The sequence below is a fragment of the Homo sapiens genome, chromosome 11 (assembly GCF_000001405.40).
Source record: "Homo sapiens chromosome 11, GRCh38.p14 Primary Assembly".
Classification (NCBI taxonomy): Eukaryota; Metazoa; Chordata; class Mammalia; order Primates; family Hominidae; genus Homo; species Homo sapiens.
Window position 1 is genome coordinate 77393307 of NC_000011.10, and position 20522 is coordinate 77413828.

Sequence of the window (20522 nt, forward strand, 5' to 3'; positions counted from 1 at the left end):
GAGAGAGATGGGATTCTTGCTCTGTTACCCCAGGCTGGAGTGCAGTGGTACAATCATAGCTCACTGCAGCCTCAAACTCCAGGGCTCAAGAGATCCTCCCCACTCAGCCTCCAGAGTAGCTGGGACTACAGGCATGCGCCACCATGCCCATCTAATTAAAAAAAATTTTTTTGGAGACAAGAGTCTCCCTATGTTGCCCAGGCTGGTCTCAAACTCCAGGTCTCAATCAATCCTCCCACCTCAGTCTCCCAAGCAGCTGGAATTACAGGCGAGAGCCACTGTGCTTGGCTTTCTTCTTCTAAATATAAAATGGTCAATGCAGTAACCATCCTGTCCTATATGGTGCAGAATTTACTGGCAAAATCTCCACTACTTCTGAGAAACAGTAGAATAAAATCTAAAAGATAGGGGATAGGACAAGCGCGGTGGCTCATGCCTGTAATCCCAGCACTTTGGGAGGCAAAGGCAGGCGGATCACTTGAGGTCAGGAGTTTGAGACCAGCCTGGCCAATATGTTGAAACCCCCTCTCCACTAAAAATACAAAAATTAGCCAGGCGTGGTGGTGGGTGCCTGTAATCCCAGCTACTAGGGAGGCTGAGGCAGGAGAATCACCTGAACATGGGAGGCAAAGGCTGCAGTGAACCAAGATCGCACCACTGTACTCCAGCCTGGGTGACAGAGGGAGACTCTGTCTCTAAATAAATAAAGATGGGGGGGATTTCCTATCACATGTTATCAATAGTTTTAATGAAAATGTTATTATCTTAAATAAACGTCCTTGACAATGGATACATATGAATGTATCCAGAGTTAAAAATATTGCTCATTAGTCTTCCATGCTGCAGTAGAAATTATACATTTAACCATGACTATTTAAAATATAAGCTCTTTGGAGTTAAACACAACAGTGCTTTAGAGAATAATGGGTTCAAAAAACCAGCACAATAATTACCAAGAGCTTTTAGAAATATAGATATCCTGGCTTGGCCTCCATAAATTTTGATTTAGAACGGCTGAGTTAAGACCTAATTCTGTATTTTGAAAATTAGTGATCCCAATGCCAGTCAGATTTGAATACTACCGCTTTAGGCATCAATTACTTAAAATACTATGAATAAAATCTATAGGAGTTTTTTTTTTTAACAATTTCTAATAAAGAACTGATCCCCCCACATCCAGTTTTTTCCTCAATCCTTTATCCAGGAGCTGTCAGTAACCTTAGAACACACTACTCTTCTACTTTTAAAACCCTTCACTGGCTGGGAGCAGTGGCTCACACCTGTAATCCCAGCACTTTGGGAGACCAAGGTGGGCAGATCACGAGGTCAAGAGATTGAGACCATCCTGGCCAATATGGTGAAACCCCATCTCTACTAAAATGCAAAAAATTAGCTGGGCATGGTGGCGCGCGCCTGTAGTCCCAGCTACTCAGGAGGCTGAGGGAGGAGAATTGCTTGAACCCGGGAGGCAGAGGTTGCAGTGAGCTGAGATCACGCCACTGCATTCCAGCCTGGAGACAGAGCAAGACTCTGTCTCAAAAACAAAACAAAACAAAACAAAATACCCTTCATTGACATCTCAGGATAAAAGCTGATGTTTTTAGCTTGCTTTTAGAGGCCCTCTGTTATTTGACCAAATGCACCAATTAGCCTCATTTCCCACCACTACCACTCTAATTTCCCTTACACTCTATCCACACCCAACTTCTCCAACTTCTTCAAATATCCCATAGCTTTTACACTTCTATGCTTTTGTGCATGCTGATCCTTCTGCCTAGAATACCAATTTCCCTATGCTTCAACTATGAATTCACTCATCCTTCAAGGCTTAATTCAATTGTTATTTCTTCCTTGAACCCATTTGGAAATGTGTCCTCATCACTTCAAGAAGTTAGGTGCCCCCTCCTCCATATTCCCAAAGCAATGGGTAACTTTCCAGGTTATCCCTTCTATTATTGCTATTACAATTGTTTATAGGTATGTCTTCCCTGGGAGCCAGAATGTTCCTCAAATGTTGGGCCCAATTTTGTCATCTTTGCAATCCAACAATGCTTTATATAGTATCTAGCTCATAGTGAACTCAAATATTTTAATTAATCAAACTTTGCATAAAGATATATACCTTGCCTTTAGGAAGTTTAGTACAGATAAAATTCAAGGTCCTTCACTATCTGACATCAACCTGCCTTATCAACTAAGCCACTACACCTAGACACAGCCTAATTCAAACTAATTCAAACCTCAGAAATCTGTTCCACTGTACTTGTATTCTTATTTACTTATACACACACACAGACACACACACAAACACACACCCCAACGTGTTTCCTGTCAATGATTTCTCCCTTCTCTGACTGATAAAAATCTTACTCATCCATCAAGGCCAAACCCTAACCCCACTTCTTTGCATAATTCATCCTGACCCACCTTTGGCAAACCAACTGCTCCTTCTCTTTTTGAACAAAAGAAATCAAGCAAGCAAGGACAATCTTGTTAATGCAGATTAACTCTGATGTTCTTTTTATCCATTTCTTCCAGTTTCTCTTCCCAGATTTACCTTTGTTTTCCCTCCCAACTGTAACTCAAGTCCCTCAGCTCCCGCAAGAGAACTTTTACTGTCTCAGTTCTCAAGTGTACCTTCCCACTCCAGGCTGCCAGTTCCAAAATTACACTCCCTGCAGCCATCTGATACCCTAGTCAAGTCCTTCCCTGCCTCCCAGGTCCTTCAACCAACAGCTTCATTGAATGTAACTCCATTTCAGGCCCACAGCCCACGATTATGCCAACAAAGGTTTCACCAACCTTCCTGATACAGGCTTTTCTCCATTTCTCAGTCCTTTTACTATGTTTGGAGAATTCTGTGATAGATCTTCACTTTCAAAGAGATTCCATTATTACTTAAAACCTAAAATAAGCATTGGAATCTAATATTTCAATTCTTTTACTACATTCCAGCCTAGGTCATCCAGTCTATGCTTGAAAAGTTGCAATGACAGGAAATCTAAAATCTCCAAAGACTGTCTCTTCTATCTTCAGCCATCTCATTTAATGAGTTATCACTTATAATAAGCTCTTACACTGCATTGCAATAATTTGTTTACACATTTGCTTTCCCTTTCACCCCTCTCCCCTGCTAGACATAGACTATAAACACCTCAAGAACAAAGTTCATGTCCTATGTATTTCTCGATCTGCAACACCACGCCTGGCACAGAACAGGTAATCAATAAAGATTTGTTGAATAAACAAACGAATGAATAAACAAAGAAAAAACTTCCATCTGTTAGTACTAAATCTTGTATCTTAGAGCTATTCAGAAAAGACCACTATCTCTTCCCCAGACAGAACTTTAGATACCTGAAATACTCTTTTGAGACCTCCCAAATCTATTTTCTCAATGCCAAACATTTCCAGGACCTTCAACTATACTCACAGAACACAATTTTGTGCTTTCTTAATCACTTCCTTCTGAACTTGCTTAAGGTTTCTATACTACTTTCCAGCTTCCCTGCAGCCCTCCAACAAGCCCTTTCTTATAGGTTCTCCACAAGTCTTTCCTCTTTTTACCCTCATTGATCCTCCAATGGTCATTTTGTATATCTACACTCATCAAAATAATTAGCACATTTTAAAACCTGTACCATTTTAAACTTTGTTTACAGGAAAACAGGTCCAAAACAACAAACATGCTCAACTTTTGAATAAAGTGAGTATACACACCTTAATCTTCTAATAGTCTCTGTAGACCAAAAGTTTGGAAGGATGAAAAACCAATGCCTCAGACGTGCTGCAATATAAAGCTAGGCATGAGGCCAACATTATAACAGCTCAGATAGCACCATTCTATCCATCCTGGACAACAAATGAATACAACAGACAGAGAGAAAGACAGAGCGATCACATTTTACCAATGCCCCAGAGGCTCAGGGAACCTAACAATTTATGAGCAACTAATTATATTGAAGCATTAATTATGAATCAACTGAATGACTCTATAATAAATGCAGGATCACTGTGAGGTTTCAAAAGGTAGGGCAATATTTTAAAAGATTACTGGAATTAAAGTCAGGAGACCCAGGTTTAAGTCCTGGCTCTGCAATTTATAAGCCATCGCCCCTGTAGAAGTCCCATCACCTATGACCTGTAATTTGATGTTTCTCGCTATGCAGTCTCTAGACTTAATACTGGTCAAGAGGCAACCAAGGAGGGGAAGTGATTTGTGCCTCTTTTGAAGCATGCTATACAAGGCATAAAGATACAGTGCTACAGTAGAAAGACGGGAAAGAAAACACTTTTCAAGTAGCCACTGTGTGTAAGGTACTTTACATACTGAATCAAAGTAGACAGGGATTCAGAGAAGGAATGTGCTCACCAACAACTACCTCTTTCTACTCTTATTACCCTGGATTCCACAGTCACCGGTATAAAACAAAACCAAGTTAATCAACTATTTTAAGATGCACATAACATCAAAGCCAAAGGCTTCTTTGGAAGTCATCCAACCTGACTGCCTAATGTTACAGGTAGGAATACTGAAGTCCAGAGTGCAAGAGGAAATTACCTAAGATCACACAGCAATTTATAGGTAGAGTAGGGATAGAACCCTCTTTAAACTGATAGAAATTTTACTTATCCTTCCCAGCAAAACTCAAACCTCATCTTTAATTTTTAGTTTTTGTGGGCACATAGTAGTTGTATATATTTATGGAGTACATGAGATATTGTGGACACAGGCATGCAATGCAAAATAATCATATCATGGAGAATGGGGTATCCATCCCCTCAAGCATTTATCCTTTGTGTTACAAACAATCCAATTATAGTCTTTTAGTTATTTTTAAATATGCAATTGTTATTATTGATTACAGTCACCCTGCTGTGCTATCAAATAATAGGTCTTATTTATTCTATTTTTTTGTACCCATTAACCATCCCTCCCTTTCCACTAGCCCTCCACTACCCTTTCCAGCCACTGGTAACCATCCTTCTATTATCTATGTCCATTAGTTGAATTGTTTTGATTTTTAGATCCCACAAATAAGTGAGAACATGCGATGTTTATCTTTCTGTCCCTGGCTTATTTCACTTAACATAATGACCTCCAGTTCCATCCACGTTGTTGCAAATGACAGGATCTCATTCTTTTTGGTGGCTGAATAGTACTCCATTGTACATGTTCCATCCATGTTGTTGCAAATGACAGGATCTCATTCTTTTTTGTGGCTGAATAGTACTCCATTGTGCATATACACCACATTTTCTTTATCCTTTCATCTGTAAATAGACACTGTGATTGCTTCCAAATCTCAGCTATCTTGAACAGTGCTGCAACAAACAGGAGTGCAGATATCTCTTCAATATACCAATTTCCTTTCTTGTGGGTAGATACCCAGCTGTGGGATTGCTGGATCATACGATAGGTCTATCTTTAGTTTTTTGTTTGTTTGTTTGTTTAATCAGACCTCATCTTTAAACTCTCTGCCAAAGGATTTTCCAACTATACTGTTCTTGAGGTAATTCTAGCCCCTTTGTGTTCCGCTACTTCTGATTTATGATTAGTTCAGTCAAATCTAGCCAATGGCAAATATAAAAATGTTATTAGCACATTTAGGCTGGACTTGACTTTTACTAAAAGTCTACCATGAGCTAAGTGCCAGAAAAGATAAATGAATTCTTATTCCTCCAATCAAAAAAATATAAACACAGAATATGTAAGCAAACACATATGAAAGGTATGTACACCTTTTGCTGCAGTTGCAGGCTCTTCATTCAAGTGCAGTTCAAGTGCAGTTCAGCTTACATATAAAAATATATAAGGTGCTATGTATGCTAGAAACCAAGAACAAATAGATGAAGGAAGACAGATAGATAGGTAGATAGACAGATCATGAATAAAATATGACCTGACCCTAGAGGCTATCACCATCTAGTTAGCAGAAGGCAGAACCTAGAAAACCACAATGCCAGGCCAATTGTGAATAGTGCTGTAGAACAGTACAAACAGTAAAATGTCCAAACACACATGAAAGAAATGTTAAATTGAATTTGAGTGATCAGTGAAGTTTCAGAAAAGAGGTGGTATTAAGAGTAGCAGCTTAAAGAACAAATAGGTCAGACTAGTGGTCTTTAACTCTAGGCTATTAGAATCCCCTGTGAGCTTTTTTCTTAAAGCTCACTGGTGCTGAAGTTTTACACCAGTGCTGAAGTACTCAGGGAGAAGTATATTAATATCTGTAATTTATTTTCAAATGCATTTTTAAGAAATAAGATTGGCCGGGCGCGGTGGCTCACGCCTGTAATCCCAGCACTTTGGGAGGCCGAGGCTGGCGGATCACGAGGTCAGGAGATCGAGACCATCCCGGCTAAAACGGTGAAACCCCGTCTCTACTAAAAATACAAAAAATTAGCCAGGCGTAGTGGCGGGCGCCTGTAGTCCCAGCTACTTGGGAGGCTGAGGCAGGAGAATGGCGTGAACCCGGGAGGCGGAGCTTGCAGTGAGCCGAGATCCCGCCACTGCACTCCAGCCTGGGCGACAGAGCGAGACTCCGTCTCAAAAAAAAAAAAAAAAAAAAAAAAAAAAGAAATAAGATTAACAGGGTTATAACATAATATACATGTCAATATATAATGGATATGATAAAGTTAGTATATGAAAATGTTAATGGTAGGAGAATCTAGGTGGTGGGTACACAGGTACTCACTGTAAGATTCTTCTGATTTTTGAAATTTTACCTAATAAAATGTTGAGGAGGAAAACATTAATGCTTGAACTCTACCCCTAGAGTCGCTGATTTAATTGGTCTGGAGTAGGTCCAGGCATTAGTATATAGTGCTTGGCCCAAAGAAAAGAGACAAAAAATGAGTGAATGATTTTCATGGAGAAAGATGATGGCAAATGCATCCAGACCACAGAATAACATAAATGTGAGAGTACAGTGTGGCAGAATGCAACATAAAGGACTAAAATGGGAGACTGAAAAAGTGGGACAGTGCAGATCACAGCAGGTCTTTTATGTTCTGCACCACGTAGAGCACTAGACAGAAAAATGGTCCATTCTAAGCAGCTCTAGAATTGTGCAATAAATGCCCCATGTTAAAAATAAAAGATGGGGCTTTTAATTAAAAAACAAGGTTGTGGAGAGATGACAATGAGAAAAGAGGTATTGCCTGGAGGAGGAGACCATCTGCTACCCATCTGCACTGAGGACTCAGTGATGCCTTGAGTTCATACAATGGGATTAAGCATCACAGAAGATAAACGAATTCTGGTGCTTAGTCCAAGTCACACAATGAGACCTGGAGTTTAAGAGAGTCTTCCACACTGCCTAAGAGAGTTGCTAAAATTCTAGAAACAGTTTCCACAGAAAACCTTCAGGATTAACCATTTTTACAACTAGGATTTAAGCATTATTTGGGGCTGTTTTAATAATCACTAACATTAGATCACACTTTGGAGTTTACTGAAAACTTGGAAATCTATTTGGTATCATTTTTCTCATTCATCAGTGCAAATATTAATTCGTCAGCTACCGTTTGACAAGCTATGCATGAAGTGCTGAAGACAGAACAGTAAACAAGTCAGAAGAAGAAGAAGCAAAGCTTCAAAGATGCTGCCAGTCACCCAGGGTCATACAGCTAGTGGGCAGCAGAGGCAGGAACCTGAAATTAGGCCTGTGTGGTGATAGAACCACTACACCACACTACACTGCTGACTCTAGAGGCAAAGGAAAGGAATAGATAACCTCTAATATTAACTCGAGAAGAAGAAATAAAACCTGTTCCATATACTAATCACACTTTTTAGTCCAAACAGCTCACAGCAGCTGCAACTGGCATGACCAACACTCCATCCAGAACTGGGGAGTACTGTATGCCCTTGACGCCTGGTTATGAGAATCTGATCTTTAATTATATTGTGCCAGGAGGTTTTCTTTGGCAGGGGACTGGAATGCTGCAGTCTTGAATTTGCTGAGGGATGTCCTTCTAACATGTCAAAGATACTCCCACTATGCAGCCTGGCCACTTGCTCTGGTTTAGCAACACCTGCTAGAGCAACAGTGAGGAAAACTGTTGGCTGTTTCTGGGTGGTTAGGAAAGCTACTTTACTTTCTGATCTTCAGTTTCCTCTTAGGTAAAACGCAAACAAGACTACCTACTTTATAAAGTTATCACGAGAATTAACAAGCATATATAAAAGCACCTAGCATGCTGCCTGGCACAAAATAAATGTTCAACAAATATTTGTTCTTTCCCCCACCTATCTTTTTAGTTTCATCTCTACTATTCCCTAAACATGTCATTCCAGCTCACTATGCTTTCATGTTCCTGCCTTTGCCTATGCTGTTTTCTCTGCCTAAAATGCCCCAACTTGTCTGCCAAGCAAACTCCTACTCATTCTTCAAGGCCCAACCTGACTCACTTCCCCTATGAAACCTTCACAGAAGCCCCCAAATTTAACAGATCCCACTACTTCTGCTCCCGAAATGTAACAGCATTCTATGTGTACTTCTATGCAACAATTTCCAAACTTCATTATATCAACCATAATCCATGCTTCTTGTCCTCACCAGGCCATGAATAACTCAAGGGAAAAAACTGAAGTTTGTTTAATCTCTATATCCCTAGGCTGAGCTGGTACACACCTGGTAATTAGCCAAGGTTCACTGACTAAGGCAGCCTGGGTTAGCAGAAAAAACACAGGACCTGAAAGGATCCTGAAGAATCAGCCAGTTTTATTTTTATAAAATAAACACCTTTATTTTATGGGAACCTGGAACCTATAGGGTTATGCAATTTACCTAAGATCACTAAATGAAAGAGTGATAAAAACATTACTAGCTTCTGATTATTCTCTTGAAAACTCTCTTTCTACACTAATTACGTAATTTGAGACAGAATGAACAAGTGACTGTATCTGGGAGGCTTCCTACAATTAGAGAAGAATGAGAGGCAGCAAAGTGAAGTGGAAACGGCAGAGAAATTTAGAGTGACAGACTGAAGTTCTCTTAGGCTGGCTCTGTACCTCTAATCCTCCCCACCCCCATCCGCACCTACGCAACTTCCTCACTCCTACCACCTTGCAGACAGTCACTAGAGTTACTTCCAGAAACCAATATTTACAGGTCTTATAATCCTCTGCCTACCATCTTGGGAAATTCCTAATCTGCAACCCCAGTTGAGTTATTCCCAATAATTCAGGCAAAAATTGAAATTTAACCTTCAAACCTCCAAACCTCCCATTGGATGACCTGCCTTACAGGTTGAGGCCTGTAAGGCCTCATAAAGTTGAGGCCCTTACAATCGGAGAGCTGGAAGGAACCATAAAGGGGCCACTTCGTTCAACCTCCCAGGAAACAATGAAATCTATCGTACTGTCTCCTAGTTGGTTGACCTTCCAGCCAATCTCTGCCTGAACATGTCCTGATTTCCCACATTGCCACATGCTGCCTCAATGGAAAAGTTTATCTCAAAGTGTCAAAAACCATAGCATGAAAATGGGACAGTCCTCCCACCTCTAAAAGGTAATTAGGACTAAATCAATCAATCAGTCCTACAGTTTTCATTTACTTCAGTCACCCATGATCACTCAAACTCTCATCTCCAAACTTTTCTGTGAACCCTCTAACCTGACCAAATTCCCTCCCCCTATGGTGACTCTGGAACCCTTCCACTGTTCCCTCTGGAACTTCTCATTTGCCACTGGCTACACTCTTGCTCCTTTACCTTAAAAGAAATCTGGCTATGCCCTGAAGAAGAGGCTTCTCTACAAGCCCTCTCAATTGGAAGCTGTTTTCCCTCTTACACCCTACCTATCAGTGTAGTCCTTAATTTTCAGTGCCATTTCCAAACCATGTCTTTCTCTTCCTCTTGTAAAAACCTATATTTTCCTTTGAGTAGCTTCCACTGGCTGCTATCGCACATCTTTGCAGACTACTATTCACTTTCTGGTCACTCCCACTGAAAGGCTTTAGTTCCAGGTTCAATCTTCTTCTGAACCCCTCTAGTCATCATTCTAGGTGACTTCAACAGCCACAATGATGATCATGTCAACACCCTGGCCACTCCATTTTCTGACCTCCAGTCCAAGTTAGCCAATACTCTCATGATTACACCCAGGACCTTATCACCAAAATGTGCAACAATTCCAATACATAGAATGAATCATATATACTCCAGAGACAACCTTGCTCAAGAATTTCCACTACAATTCCTAGACTTCAATTTGAGCTCCAATAAACTATCCAGCAGTCCCCTGCCTTTTTTTCCTCTCTTTATCTAATCATGATCCATCAAAATTACTCAAACATCAAAAACCATCAACCCCTTGCCCTTCCCTCCTTTTCCAAAATTTAACTGGCAAAATCCTAGCTTTAGGATAGTTGAACTCAACTTTCTCCCAACTGTCATTATACTTAAGCAGCCAAATGTCCTAGAGAACATTACAAAACCCAGTTAACTGCTTTCACTTGAAAGTTATGATTACCTTCTGCTTTGGTTTGAATGTGTCCCCAAAGTTCAAGTATTGGAAACTTAATCCTCACTGCAAGTGTTGAGAGGTGAGATCTTTAAAAGGTGATTGGGTCATGAGGGCTCTGGCCTCATGAATGGATTAATGTCATTATCATAGGAGTAAATTAGTTATCAAGAGAGTGGGTTCCTGATCAAAAGGATGAGTTCACCCCCACTTCCCTTGTTACTCTTGCTCTCTTGCCCTTCCACCTTCTACCACGGAATAACACAGCAAGAAGGCCCTCACCAGATGCAGGTACCTTGGACTTCCCAGCTCTAGAACTTTAAGAAATATGTTTCTTTTCTTTAGAAATTACCTAGTCTGTCGTATTCTATCATAGCAACACAAAATAGGCTAAGACACTTTCCTACATATGATTACCCTACCTCAAATGGGAATTCAACTGGATTTTCCACTAGCCCTTTCCTTTAGCTAATGAGCTTACTTTTTCTTTCTTTTTTTTTTTTCTGAGATGGAATCTCACCCTGTCGCCCAGGCTGGAGTGCAGTGGCGCAATCTCGGCTCACTGCAACCTCCACCTCGGGGGTTCAAGTGATTCTCCTGCCTCAGCCTCCCGAGTAGCTAGAACTACAGACACAGGCCACCACACCAGGCTAATTTTTTATTTTTAGTAGAGACAGGGTTTCACCATGTTGGCCAGGCTGATCTCGAACTCCTGACCTCAGGTGATCCACCCACCTCGGCCTCCCAAAGTGCTGGGATTACAGATGTGAGCCACTGCACCCGGCCAATGAGCTTACTTTCAATGAGAAAATAGAAATCTTGGCAGAAGAACTACATCTTCCTACCCTCAAATCTATGTGCCTCCCTGTATCTGCATCCATTTTCTCCTTCTTCCTTCCAGTTACAATGAAGGAGGTGTTCTTCCTCTCATCCGAAGCCAATTCTCTCTTATCCCTGTATTCCTTCACTCGTTCTCACCTGGAATAATCTGCTCTTTCAGCTATGTCAACCTTTCCCTCTCTGTTAGATATATTCAGTCATTCAACAAACATTTATTGAGCATCTACAAAGTACCAATACTAATCTAGTTGAATAAGAGAAAGGCCTTGTGCTCATAGAGTTTATGGTCTAGTAAGAGATGCAGACAGAGAAATACACAAATAAATACACAATATCAAGTCCACGTGTATGTGTGAATATGAGGGGGAGGCGCATGCATGGGGCATGGTACATAAAAGAAGATAATCAAGACAGGCTTCTCTGAGAAACAGTTACTTAAGACCTCATTTAAATGAGACAGCAAATCATAGTAATATCTGGAAAAGCATTTTAAGCGAAGGAGTAATAAGTACAAATGTCTTAGATGAGAATACACTGGGCATGTAGGACAGCAAAAAGACTGGCAAGACTAAAGTTGAGTAAACAAAGAGAAATATGGTAAGCGACTGGGATCAGAGATGTAACCAGAGGTCAGACAGTGTGGAACTTTATAGGCCACAATAAATTTGGCTTTTCAGCAAGTGTGGAAAGACACTGAAGGGTTTTGAGCACTGATCTGATTTATGTTTTTAAACAGACCACTCTAGCAGCAGAGGAGAACAGGCTGCAGGGGAACAATGCAGAAGTGGAGAGACCATTAGGGAGTTATTGCAATAATCCAGGTGAAAACTAATGGTGGCTTAGATGATTGGCAATAGGGGGAGAGAAGTAATTCAAAGGCAGATACATTTTGAAGGTAGAGTCAAATGAGTTAAAGATTAGATACAGCATGTGATTAAAAAAAAAAAGAAAAATTAAGATGGTATCTAAATTTCTGGACTGATCTGAGAAATACTGGGTGAATGTAAACAAGTTTTGGCATCTCCTATTCAAAGACAGACAGACAGACAGACAGACACACACACACACACACACACACACACACACACACACACCCTTCCCTTGACACCCACATCCTCCTCCAAATACCACTTATTTCTCTGCTCCCCTTCATAGCAAAACTTCTCAGAACTGTCTACTTAAACTATCTCCACTTCCTCCCCTTCTGTCTGCCAACTAACAATCTACCATTTCATCAAAAGCAGTCTTGTCAAGATTATCAATTATCCCCATCTTGCCAAATCAAATCCTTATTTTTCTGTCCTCACGTTACTCAGTATCTTGGCAGCATTAAACGCAATTGACCTCTCTTCTCTTTCAAATACTCTACTTTCCTGTCTTCTAGGGAAGTACACTCACTTGGCTTTCCTTCCATCTTTCTGTCTACTCCTACCTCGTTTGCAGAATCCTCCTTCTCCAGCTATCATCCACACATCCAAGGCTTGGGACCTTCCTTGCTCGGAACCTTCCTTACTGATACACTACACTTTTCCCAAGATTATTTCCTCCATTCTCATGGCTTTACATATTATTAATACGTTGATAATGCCCAAGTTTTGATCTCTAGACCAAACAGCTTTCTTCAGCCTAAAAACCATCTATTAGACAACTCCACCTGCGTTTCTCATCAGTACCTCAAATCTAACAAGACCAAACGGAACTCTTGGTTTTCACAGCATCATCATGAGTTGTAATTATATTTGTTTACTTATTATATATCTCCCTCAATAAGTGATAAGCTTTGTAAAGGAGCAACGATATGCTTTTGTAAGTCTGCTGTGCTTACCAAAGTATACTCAGCAACTAAATAGGACTTGGCAAGAGTAAGCACTCAAAGCCAGGTGCAGTGGCTCATGCCTGTAATCCCAGCACTTTGGGGAGGCTGAGGTGGGTGGATCACTAGAGCTCAGGAGTTTGAGATCTGCCTGGGCAATGTGGTGAAACCCTGTCTCTACAAAAAATACAAAAGCTAGCCAGGTGTGGTGGCAGGCACCGGTAGTCCCAGCTACTCAAGAGGCTGAGGTGGGAGGATTGCTTGAGCCAAAAGGTCAAGACTGCAGTGAGTGAGCTGAGATTGCTCCACTACACTCCAGGCTGGGCAACAGACAGAGATACGATTTCAAAGGAAAAAAAAGAGTAGACACCCAGTATCAACACCAAGATTTACTAGACCCTGTCCCTGCCCTCAAAAATCTCACAGACTAATGGGAAAGGCAGATACATTAACCACAATAACAATACAATATGGTAACTGGCACTATTGATTGGTGAGAGGAAAGACATAGGTGCTGCATGAATCCAGAAGAGGGGCCCTTAACAGCCTAGGAGTCAGGGGACTTGTAGAATAAGTATAGCTATTACGTGCCTACTATATAATTATTATTATTTTTTTATATGATTATTTTTAAGCTTTATAATAACCCTTCAAAGTAGGTATGAATATCTTCCATTTTTATACATGAAGCTTAAAAAGATTAAAAATCAGGTAACAGTAAGTGGTAGAACCAGGATTTGAACTGAAGTCAATCTACTTTTAAGTCCCCCTTCCCCTTTTTGTGTTACATCATAAGAAGTCACTAAAAGTATCTTTTATAATTGCCACCTACTATCTGTTCGACCTTAAATAAAGCACATACTTCGTGGTTTTTGTTTGACCATGGAACTAAATTACCAGTCCTAAAGCCCTATCTACCCCACTCCTTTTCCTTTACTCACGGAGGATTGAGGTTCAATCCTCTCCTATTAGTCTGTGAGTTTTTCGAGGGCAGAGAAAGGGTCTAGTAAATCTTGGTGTCTATACTGAGTGCCTATTCTTGCCTGTCAGTGGCAACCCTAGGCTTTCAGGCTATAGCATCTGAGCAATTTTTCACGGCTTGAAAATGCACTCGGGAACAACCACAATGATATCTATATAGCACTTTACAAAGCATTTTCACGCATTCATTATTTCATCTGATCCTCACCAACCCTATGAGGTGTTAAATCCCTATTCTATAGAGGCCAGTGGAAGCGAAAATGCCTAGCCTAGCTGCATCTGGTCTCTGGACTCTGCAACCCGCCAGAAATTGAATTTAAGTAAATGGAACAGGGAGGAAAGGAAGGAAGAGATCAAATGACTCAGAGAGGGAGCTCAGCATATAGTCACCCAAGTGGCCTCGAGCCAGAAGTTAACAGGGACGAAGTCTGTTTCCCTTCCAAGGTAATGAGTGTTTGTTTGGCTATGGCACAGTGACCTGCCACATGGGATTGTTCTTTTTTTCATGTCAGCAGTACCTAGAGTCTAGCCCCAAAAGTAGGCAGAAAAGAGGATATAGGAAAACTCTTTGTACACTGTATGTATACACAAACTCAGGAGATAACAGGGTATAAGAGAATAGATATCACCTTCAGAGAAGACTTAAGTTTAGGTCCTAGCTCTGCCACTGTCTTGCTAAATCAAAAGTGCCCTCTTCTGCATTATCACAGCCCCTTGTGCTTCCTTCTACAATACTTACCACATGAGCGTCCACATTCCTTGATCTGCATTTGAGAGCAACAACTGAGGCCAGTTTCAATTTTTGTATCGCCACCAACCTAGTACCATAATTAGCATAGAGTAGATGGTTCAGAAATATTTGATAATGGATGGATGCAATATTCAAAGCTCTGTGAATATTGTACATACATATATACACACACACATATATACATACACACACATACACACGATCGTACGTACCATTGCACTCTAGCCTGAGCAAAACAGCAAGATCCTGTCTCAAGAAAAGAAAAAGAAAAAGACAGGCAATAATAGATGCTGGCAAGGATGGGGAGAAAGAGGAACCCTCATGTTGTTGACAAAAATGTAAATTAGTAGAGCCACTATGGAGAAATACACACACACACACACACACACACACACACACACACACTCCACATTCTGACAGTGAGTGCCAATAAAACAGTAATCTTGTCGTTCTCATCTCTGCTTTCCCTCTAACTCCCCCACTTTAAGGACAGTGCTCACAAAAATTCCGTTGATTAACGAAGTGGAGACAACCCACAAAATGGGAGAAAATATTTGTAAGCTATCCATCTGACAAAGGATTAATAACGAGAATATATAAGGCGCTCAAACAACTTAATAGCAAAAAAAACAAGTAATCCAATTTAAAAACTGGCAAAGATCTGAACGGACATTTTTCGTAACAAGAGATACAAATAACCAACAGGTACATGAAAAAAATGCTCAACATCACTAACATCAGAGAAATACAAATCAAAACCATAATGTGATATCATCTCACTCCAGTTAAAATGGCTTGTATCAAAAAGACAGGCAAAGGCTGGGCACGATGGCTCATGCCTGTAATCCCAACACTTTGGGAGGGCAAGGCAGGCAGATCACTTGAGCCCAGGAGTTCACAACCACTCTGGGCAACATAAGGAGACCACACTTCTAAAAAAAAAAAATTTTTTTTTTATTAGCCAGGCATGCTGACATGTGCCTGCAGTCCCAACTACTTCAGAGGTTGAGGTAGGAGACTGCTTGAGCCTAGGAGGTTGAAGCTGCAGTAGGCCATGATCGTACCATTGCACTCCAGCCTGGGCAACAGAGCAAGACCCTGTCTCAAGAAAAGAAAAAGAAAAAGACAGGCAATAACAGATGCTGGCAAGGATGGGGAGAAAGAGGAACCCTCATATGCTGTTGGTGAAAATGTAAATTAGTAGAGCCACTATGGAGAATAGCATGGAGGTTCCTCAGAAACTAAACATAGAACTATCATGATTCAGCAATTCCATTACTGAGTATATATCTAAAAGAAAGCAAATCAATATATGAAAGATATCACACTCCCATGAATCCTGTAGCACTATTCATAATAGCCAAAATGAAAATGTGTATATACACAATATATATTTGTGTATATATGTATATATACACACAACGGAATATTATTCAGCCATAAAAAAGAATAAAATCCTGTCATTTGCAGCAACATGGATGACACTGGATACCATTTTTTCAGGTAAAAAAAAAGCCAGGTACAGGAAGACAAATATCACATGTTCTCACTCATATGTAGGAGGTAAAAAAAGTAGATCTCATGATGATACAGAGTAGACTGGTGGTTACCAAAGGCCAGGAAAGGGAGTGAGGAGGATGAAGGGGGAAAAAAAGATATAAATGTACTTACTGAAACTGAACTGTACACTTAAACATGATAAACATGGTAAATTCTTTCAAAATTTTTAACTAAAAAAAAATTTGCTGAGTAGAAATCAGTTCAAAAAGCCAGTCATCAAAGGGGAAGATAATTAACCTATATAGTCCCCTTTCCCAGACTATAATCTTTCTCTTTCTACACACAAATAACCACTATCTTGTCCAGGCCACCCTCTTCTTCAAAAGAGCACTGTCTTCTCCTCCAGGCCTCCTCCTCCTCCTGTCCCTCCAACCCATCCCTGCTATCCTCCCTCTTCTTTCCTGGGCTACCTCCTTTCCTCCAGATCAGCACTATCTCACAGCTGCCAGAGTTTCTGGTCCTCCCAGTCACTCATCTCACTAAAGGGAACTTGAGCCTCTGCCCAGCACTACTTGACATTCTTGCTCTCCTCCCACTCAGGCCCCCCACTTCCCATCTTGCTTATTCCCTACTGCCTACCTGCTTGCTGCCCCACCACCACCAGCAAAGATGGGAAACAAATGCAGGAAGAGGGAGTGCTTGTTGGCAGGCCCAAGGCAAGGCACAGAGGCAGTAAAGAGAGAGAATGGTCCTGGGGAAGATAGAATTTGGAGGTAAAAGCTAGATGCAAGTGAGTTAGGTAGAAAACAATGTTTGGACCTCATAAACACAGGAAAAGGTCTCTACAAACCAGTAACCTACTAATAATAAGAAAGCTTAACCAAAAATTTTAGAAAAGAGAAGAAAGCCTAATCAAGAGGGGGAGGATCCAAGAGAGGGAAGGAAAGACTGGCTACACAGGGGGAGAAATACAAAAGGGGAAGCATGAGGGGAGGAGGAAGGGTGAAGGGGACGGCGGGAGAAAAGGTAGGCAGGGGGCAGGAAAAATGATCAGGAGGAGGAAATAGAAAGAAAAGTGAGGAGAGGAAGACGTAGAGTCATGAAAAAACTAGGGGGAGGAAAGAGGTCCAAAATAATCAAAGTAGGTTATTATCGGGCCTGACATGAGCTTCTTGGTGCCAGGTAATAAAGAAGGAAAGAATTATAGTGATTAAGATATTACCACAGCCAGGTCTGTCATTAACTTAGCAGAATAAGGAAGGGGCTCCAGAGAAGAGAGTCTAGTTTAACGCAACTTTATACCTAAGGACAGAAAAACTGGCCAGTTTAGAATCATTAACATACCTTGACCTTCTACTTCCCAACCCTACCTCCCTACACCTAACACACCTACGCATCACACTAAAATAAGCATCAGCATTCTCAGTCTCTGCTTTGTCCCTGAAGAACCACCAAGATGCCATTCAAAAGGCTGGCTGGAAGACAGGATACCAAGGTCTACTTCCCAAGTTCTCCTCTCTTCTACAGTGTTGAGGGGGACATCTCTGCAGCCCATTTTAGCACTTTAAACCAGCTCACCTCTCCAAAAGATGGTTTGACAGTCTGGAAAAGCCAGAGTAACAAACAATGTCAAGTCCTTCACTGCACAGATATGGCAACTCAAGCCACAGAGGATGTCTGAATAGGACCAGTCCCCCCAGGTCTCCTCCCTCCCAGTTCACTCAACCTCTTAACACAGAAAAGCCCCCACAGTCCCAGCAGGCCAGCGACTAAGCCAAGGCAGAGGAAAGCACCACGTTGGCCACCAAGCAGAAGGGCGCTTGCAAAGGAGCAGAGCTTCTGAGGCTGAGCGGTTCCCCAAAGGCGCAGCTTCCCCTTCACACCCTTCCCTGGGCAGAGCTCTGATTCCAGTGCAGGCCTAGCCCTGGGTGGGCTCATCTAAAGGTTCCACCCTCAGCCCTTTCTCTCATTTAGGGTCCCTTAAGGTAAGAGGAAAGTAAGACACCCCTCAAAATCTACTGGACCCCGTGTCACCACTCTCCGAAAGCCGGCGGAGATCCCCCAGAACCCGGCCCAGCTAGGGGAGCCCCAGGCAGGGCCGGCATTACCTGGTGGGGAAGGCTAGCCCCGGCATCTCTGGCGATTGTTTCCGTCGCAGAGCCGCACCTCTCCCTGCCCAACCGGGTACCCACAAGGCCCCTGCTCCACCGGCTCCGCTCGATTCAGCTGGGCTGGGCTCCTGGCAGCTCAGCCGCCAGCTCCCGAGGTGCAGCACGCTCGCGCTCTCGCAGGGCGGCAGCGAAGGCGCCGCGTCGGGGTTGGCGAAACAGAAGGGGCGGGGGAAGAAAGGAGGGAAGGAGGCGGGAGGAAGCCGCGCGCTTCTCCTTTTCTGCAAAGCAGAGCTGAGGGCGGGGAGACAGCTATCTTCCCACCCTCTCAGCTATTCTCCCCACCCAGTCTCCAGCAGGAGGTAATTTCTCTCCAGGGCCAGGTTTTCCAGGGCTTGTCAGAGTCCTGTGTGAGCTCCAGAGTCAAGAAAGACAACCAGAGCTCCTCTGTGCCTTAGTTTCTACAGATGAGTATAGAGGAGTCCCTTCTAAGATTCCTCAGGTCAGACCTACGATTCAGATTAGGCCTCAGAGAAAGAGATACACCTCCCCCCTCCCCAAACGTGCCAGGTTCTAATTCTAATGCTCCAGGAAGAATGCTAGGTGGGCCCCTATAGCTGCCTCTAAGCAAACAAAGCTCAGCAGCTGCTACATTATTATTATTATTATTTTGAGACAAGAGTCTTGCTGTGTGCCCAGGCTGGAGTGCAGTGGTTGGATCTTGACTCACTGCAGCCTTGACCTTCCTGGGCTCAAGTAATCCTCCCACCTCAGCCTCCCAAGTAGCTGGGACTACAGGTACCTGCCACCACACCCAGTTATTTTTATATTTTTTGTACAGATGGGGTCTGCCATGTTGCCCAGGCTGGTCTCAAATCCTGTTCTCAAGCAATCCTCTTCCCTTGGCCTCCCAAACTGTGGATTACAGGCATGAGCCACCACACCTAGCCACTGCTACCATTTATTAAGAACTATTATGTACTAGGTACTTTATAAATGTTATGTCTCTCTCAAAACAACCTTATGAAGTAGGCACTATACCAATTCACATACGTCAAAACGGAGGTCCAGGGAAAATGTCCAGGGCTCATACAATAAGTATTTTTTAACCAACTATTGTGCATCAGGCATTGTGATGGAACCTGAGCTGAACAACACATTATAGAACATTTACCAACACGGCCCAGACTAGTAGTGCCTCTAGTAGTGCCTCCCAATTACTGAAACAATAAAACACACCTTCACACATTTGCAAATGCTCCCTAGGAGGTAGTATTACCTCACTCTTCCCCCTCCCAAACCCTGCTCTTAAGAGACATGACAGAAGTCAGATTATGCGGTGTCTCTTTCGGGTCATAATTAGGAGTTAGGCTTTTGTTCCAAGTTTTAGCAGTGGGAAGGCTTTGAAAGGTTTGAAAGCAGAATGACAAACTCTAACTTACATTTTTTAAAAGATCACTGGCTGTTCAGTGGAGAAAGGGGGTAGGAGTGGAAATAAGTTAATAACTTCTCTCAGAGGTTCAGGCAACAGAAAATAGTAATGATTTAGACTAACATATTGTAAGATAATGTAAAAAGAAGCAAGCCTATTTTCTAAAGACACAGCTTGGAAGAAGCAGCAGCAGAACTTGGTGGAAAACAGAATACGATGGTGAAAGAAGTCAGTGACTTCTCCAAGACCACACATCTGGTAAATGCTCAGGAGTTCAAGGCCAGCCTGGCCAACATGGTGAAACCCCGTCTCTACTAAAAACACAAAAAATTAGCTGGATGGTGGCAGGCACCTGTAATCCCAGCTACTCGGGAGGCTGAGGCAGGAGAATCCCTTGAACCCAGGAGGCGGAAGTTGCAGTGAGCTGAGATCGCACCACTGGACTCCAGCCTGGGCAACAAGAGCGAAACTCCATCTCAAAAAAAGAAAAAGGAAAAAAAGGAAAGAAAAGGAAGGAAGGAAGGAAGAAAAGAAAGAAAGAAAGAATTGGTCAATAATAGACACCCGGAGAATTGCTGTAGTCTGAGGATTCAGCTTCAAAGTCATTTTAAGACTTTTTTTTA

At 42.1% G+C, this 20522-nt stretch overlaps 1 protein-coding gene across 50 annotated transcripts in view, besides 2 other annotated features; it reads right to left on the minus strand.

Moving 5' to 3' along the window:
• Window positions 1–20522, minus strand: part of PAK1 (p21 (RAC1) activated kinase 1) — a 207993-nt gene that overhangs the window by 71290 nt on the left and 116181 nt on the right. For 16 of the 50 annotated variants that reach the window (NR_164797.1, NR_164798.1, NM_001376305.1 and 13 more), the window contains exon 1: window positions 18468–18665. The exons of 16 other annotated variants lie outside the window; for them this stretch is intronic. Coding sequence is in view for 2 of the 34 variants with exons in the window: in XM_047427047.1 (XP_047283003.1) it covers window positions 14848–14926; window positions 18468–18493 (105 nt within the window). In the remaining 32 variants the exon portion in view is untranslated. Of the gene's footprint in view, window positions 1–3720; window positions 3853–5099; window positions 5275–14847; window positions 14927–18467; window positions 18666–20522 lie in introns of those variants that run through there. 18 more of the 50 variants (NM_001376279.1, NM_001376275.1, XM_024448557.2 and 15 more) reach the window with 9 other exon arrangements.
• Window positions 2322–2823: an enhancer, noted in NCBI's record as "NANOG hESC enhancer chr11:77106673-77107174 (GRCh37/hg19 assembly coordinates)". NCBI's record gives its function as "activates a minimal SCP1, AML or CMV promoter by ChIP-STARR-seq in naive H9 embryonic stem cells {active_cell/tissue: H9 hESC(naive)}" and the evidence as "EXISTENCE:reporter gene assay evidence [ECO:0000049][PMID:30033119]".
• Window positions 18213–18332: an enhancer, noted in NCBI's record as "active region_5303". NCBI's record gives its function as "activates an Ori minimal core promoter by ATAC-STARR-seq in GM12878 lymphoblastoid cells {active_cell/tissue: GM12878}" and the evidence as "EXISTENCE:reporter gene assay evidence [ECO:0000049][PMID:35858748]".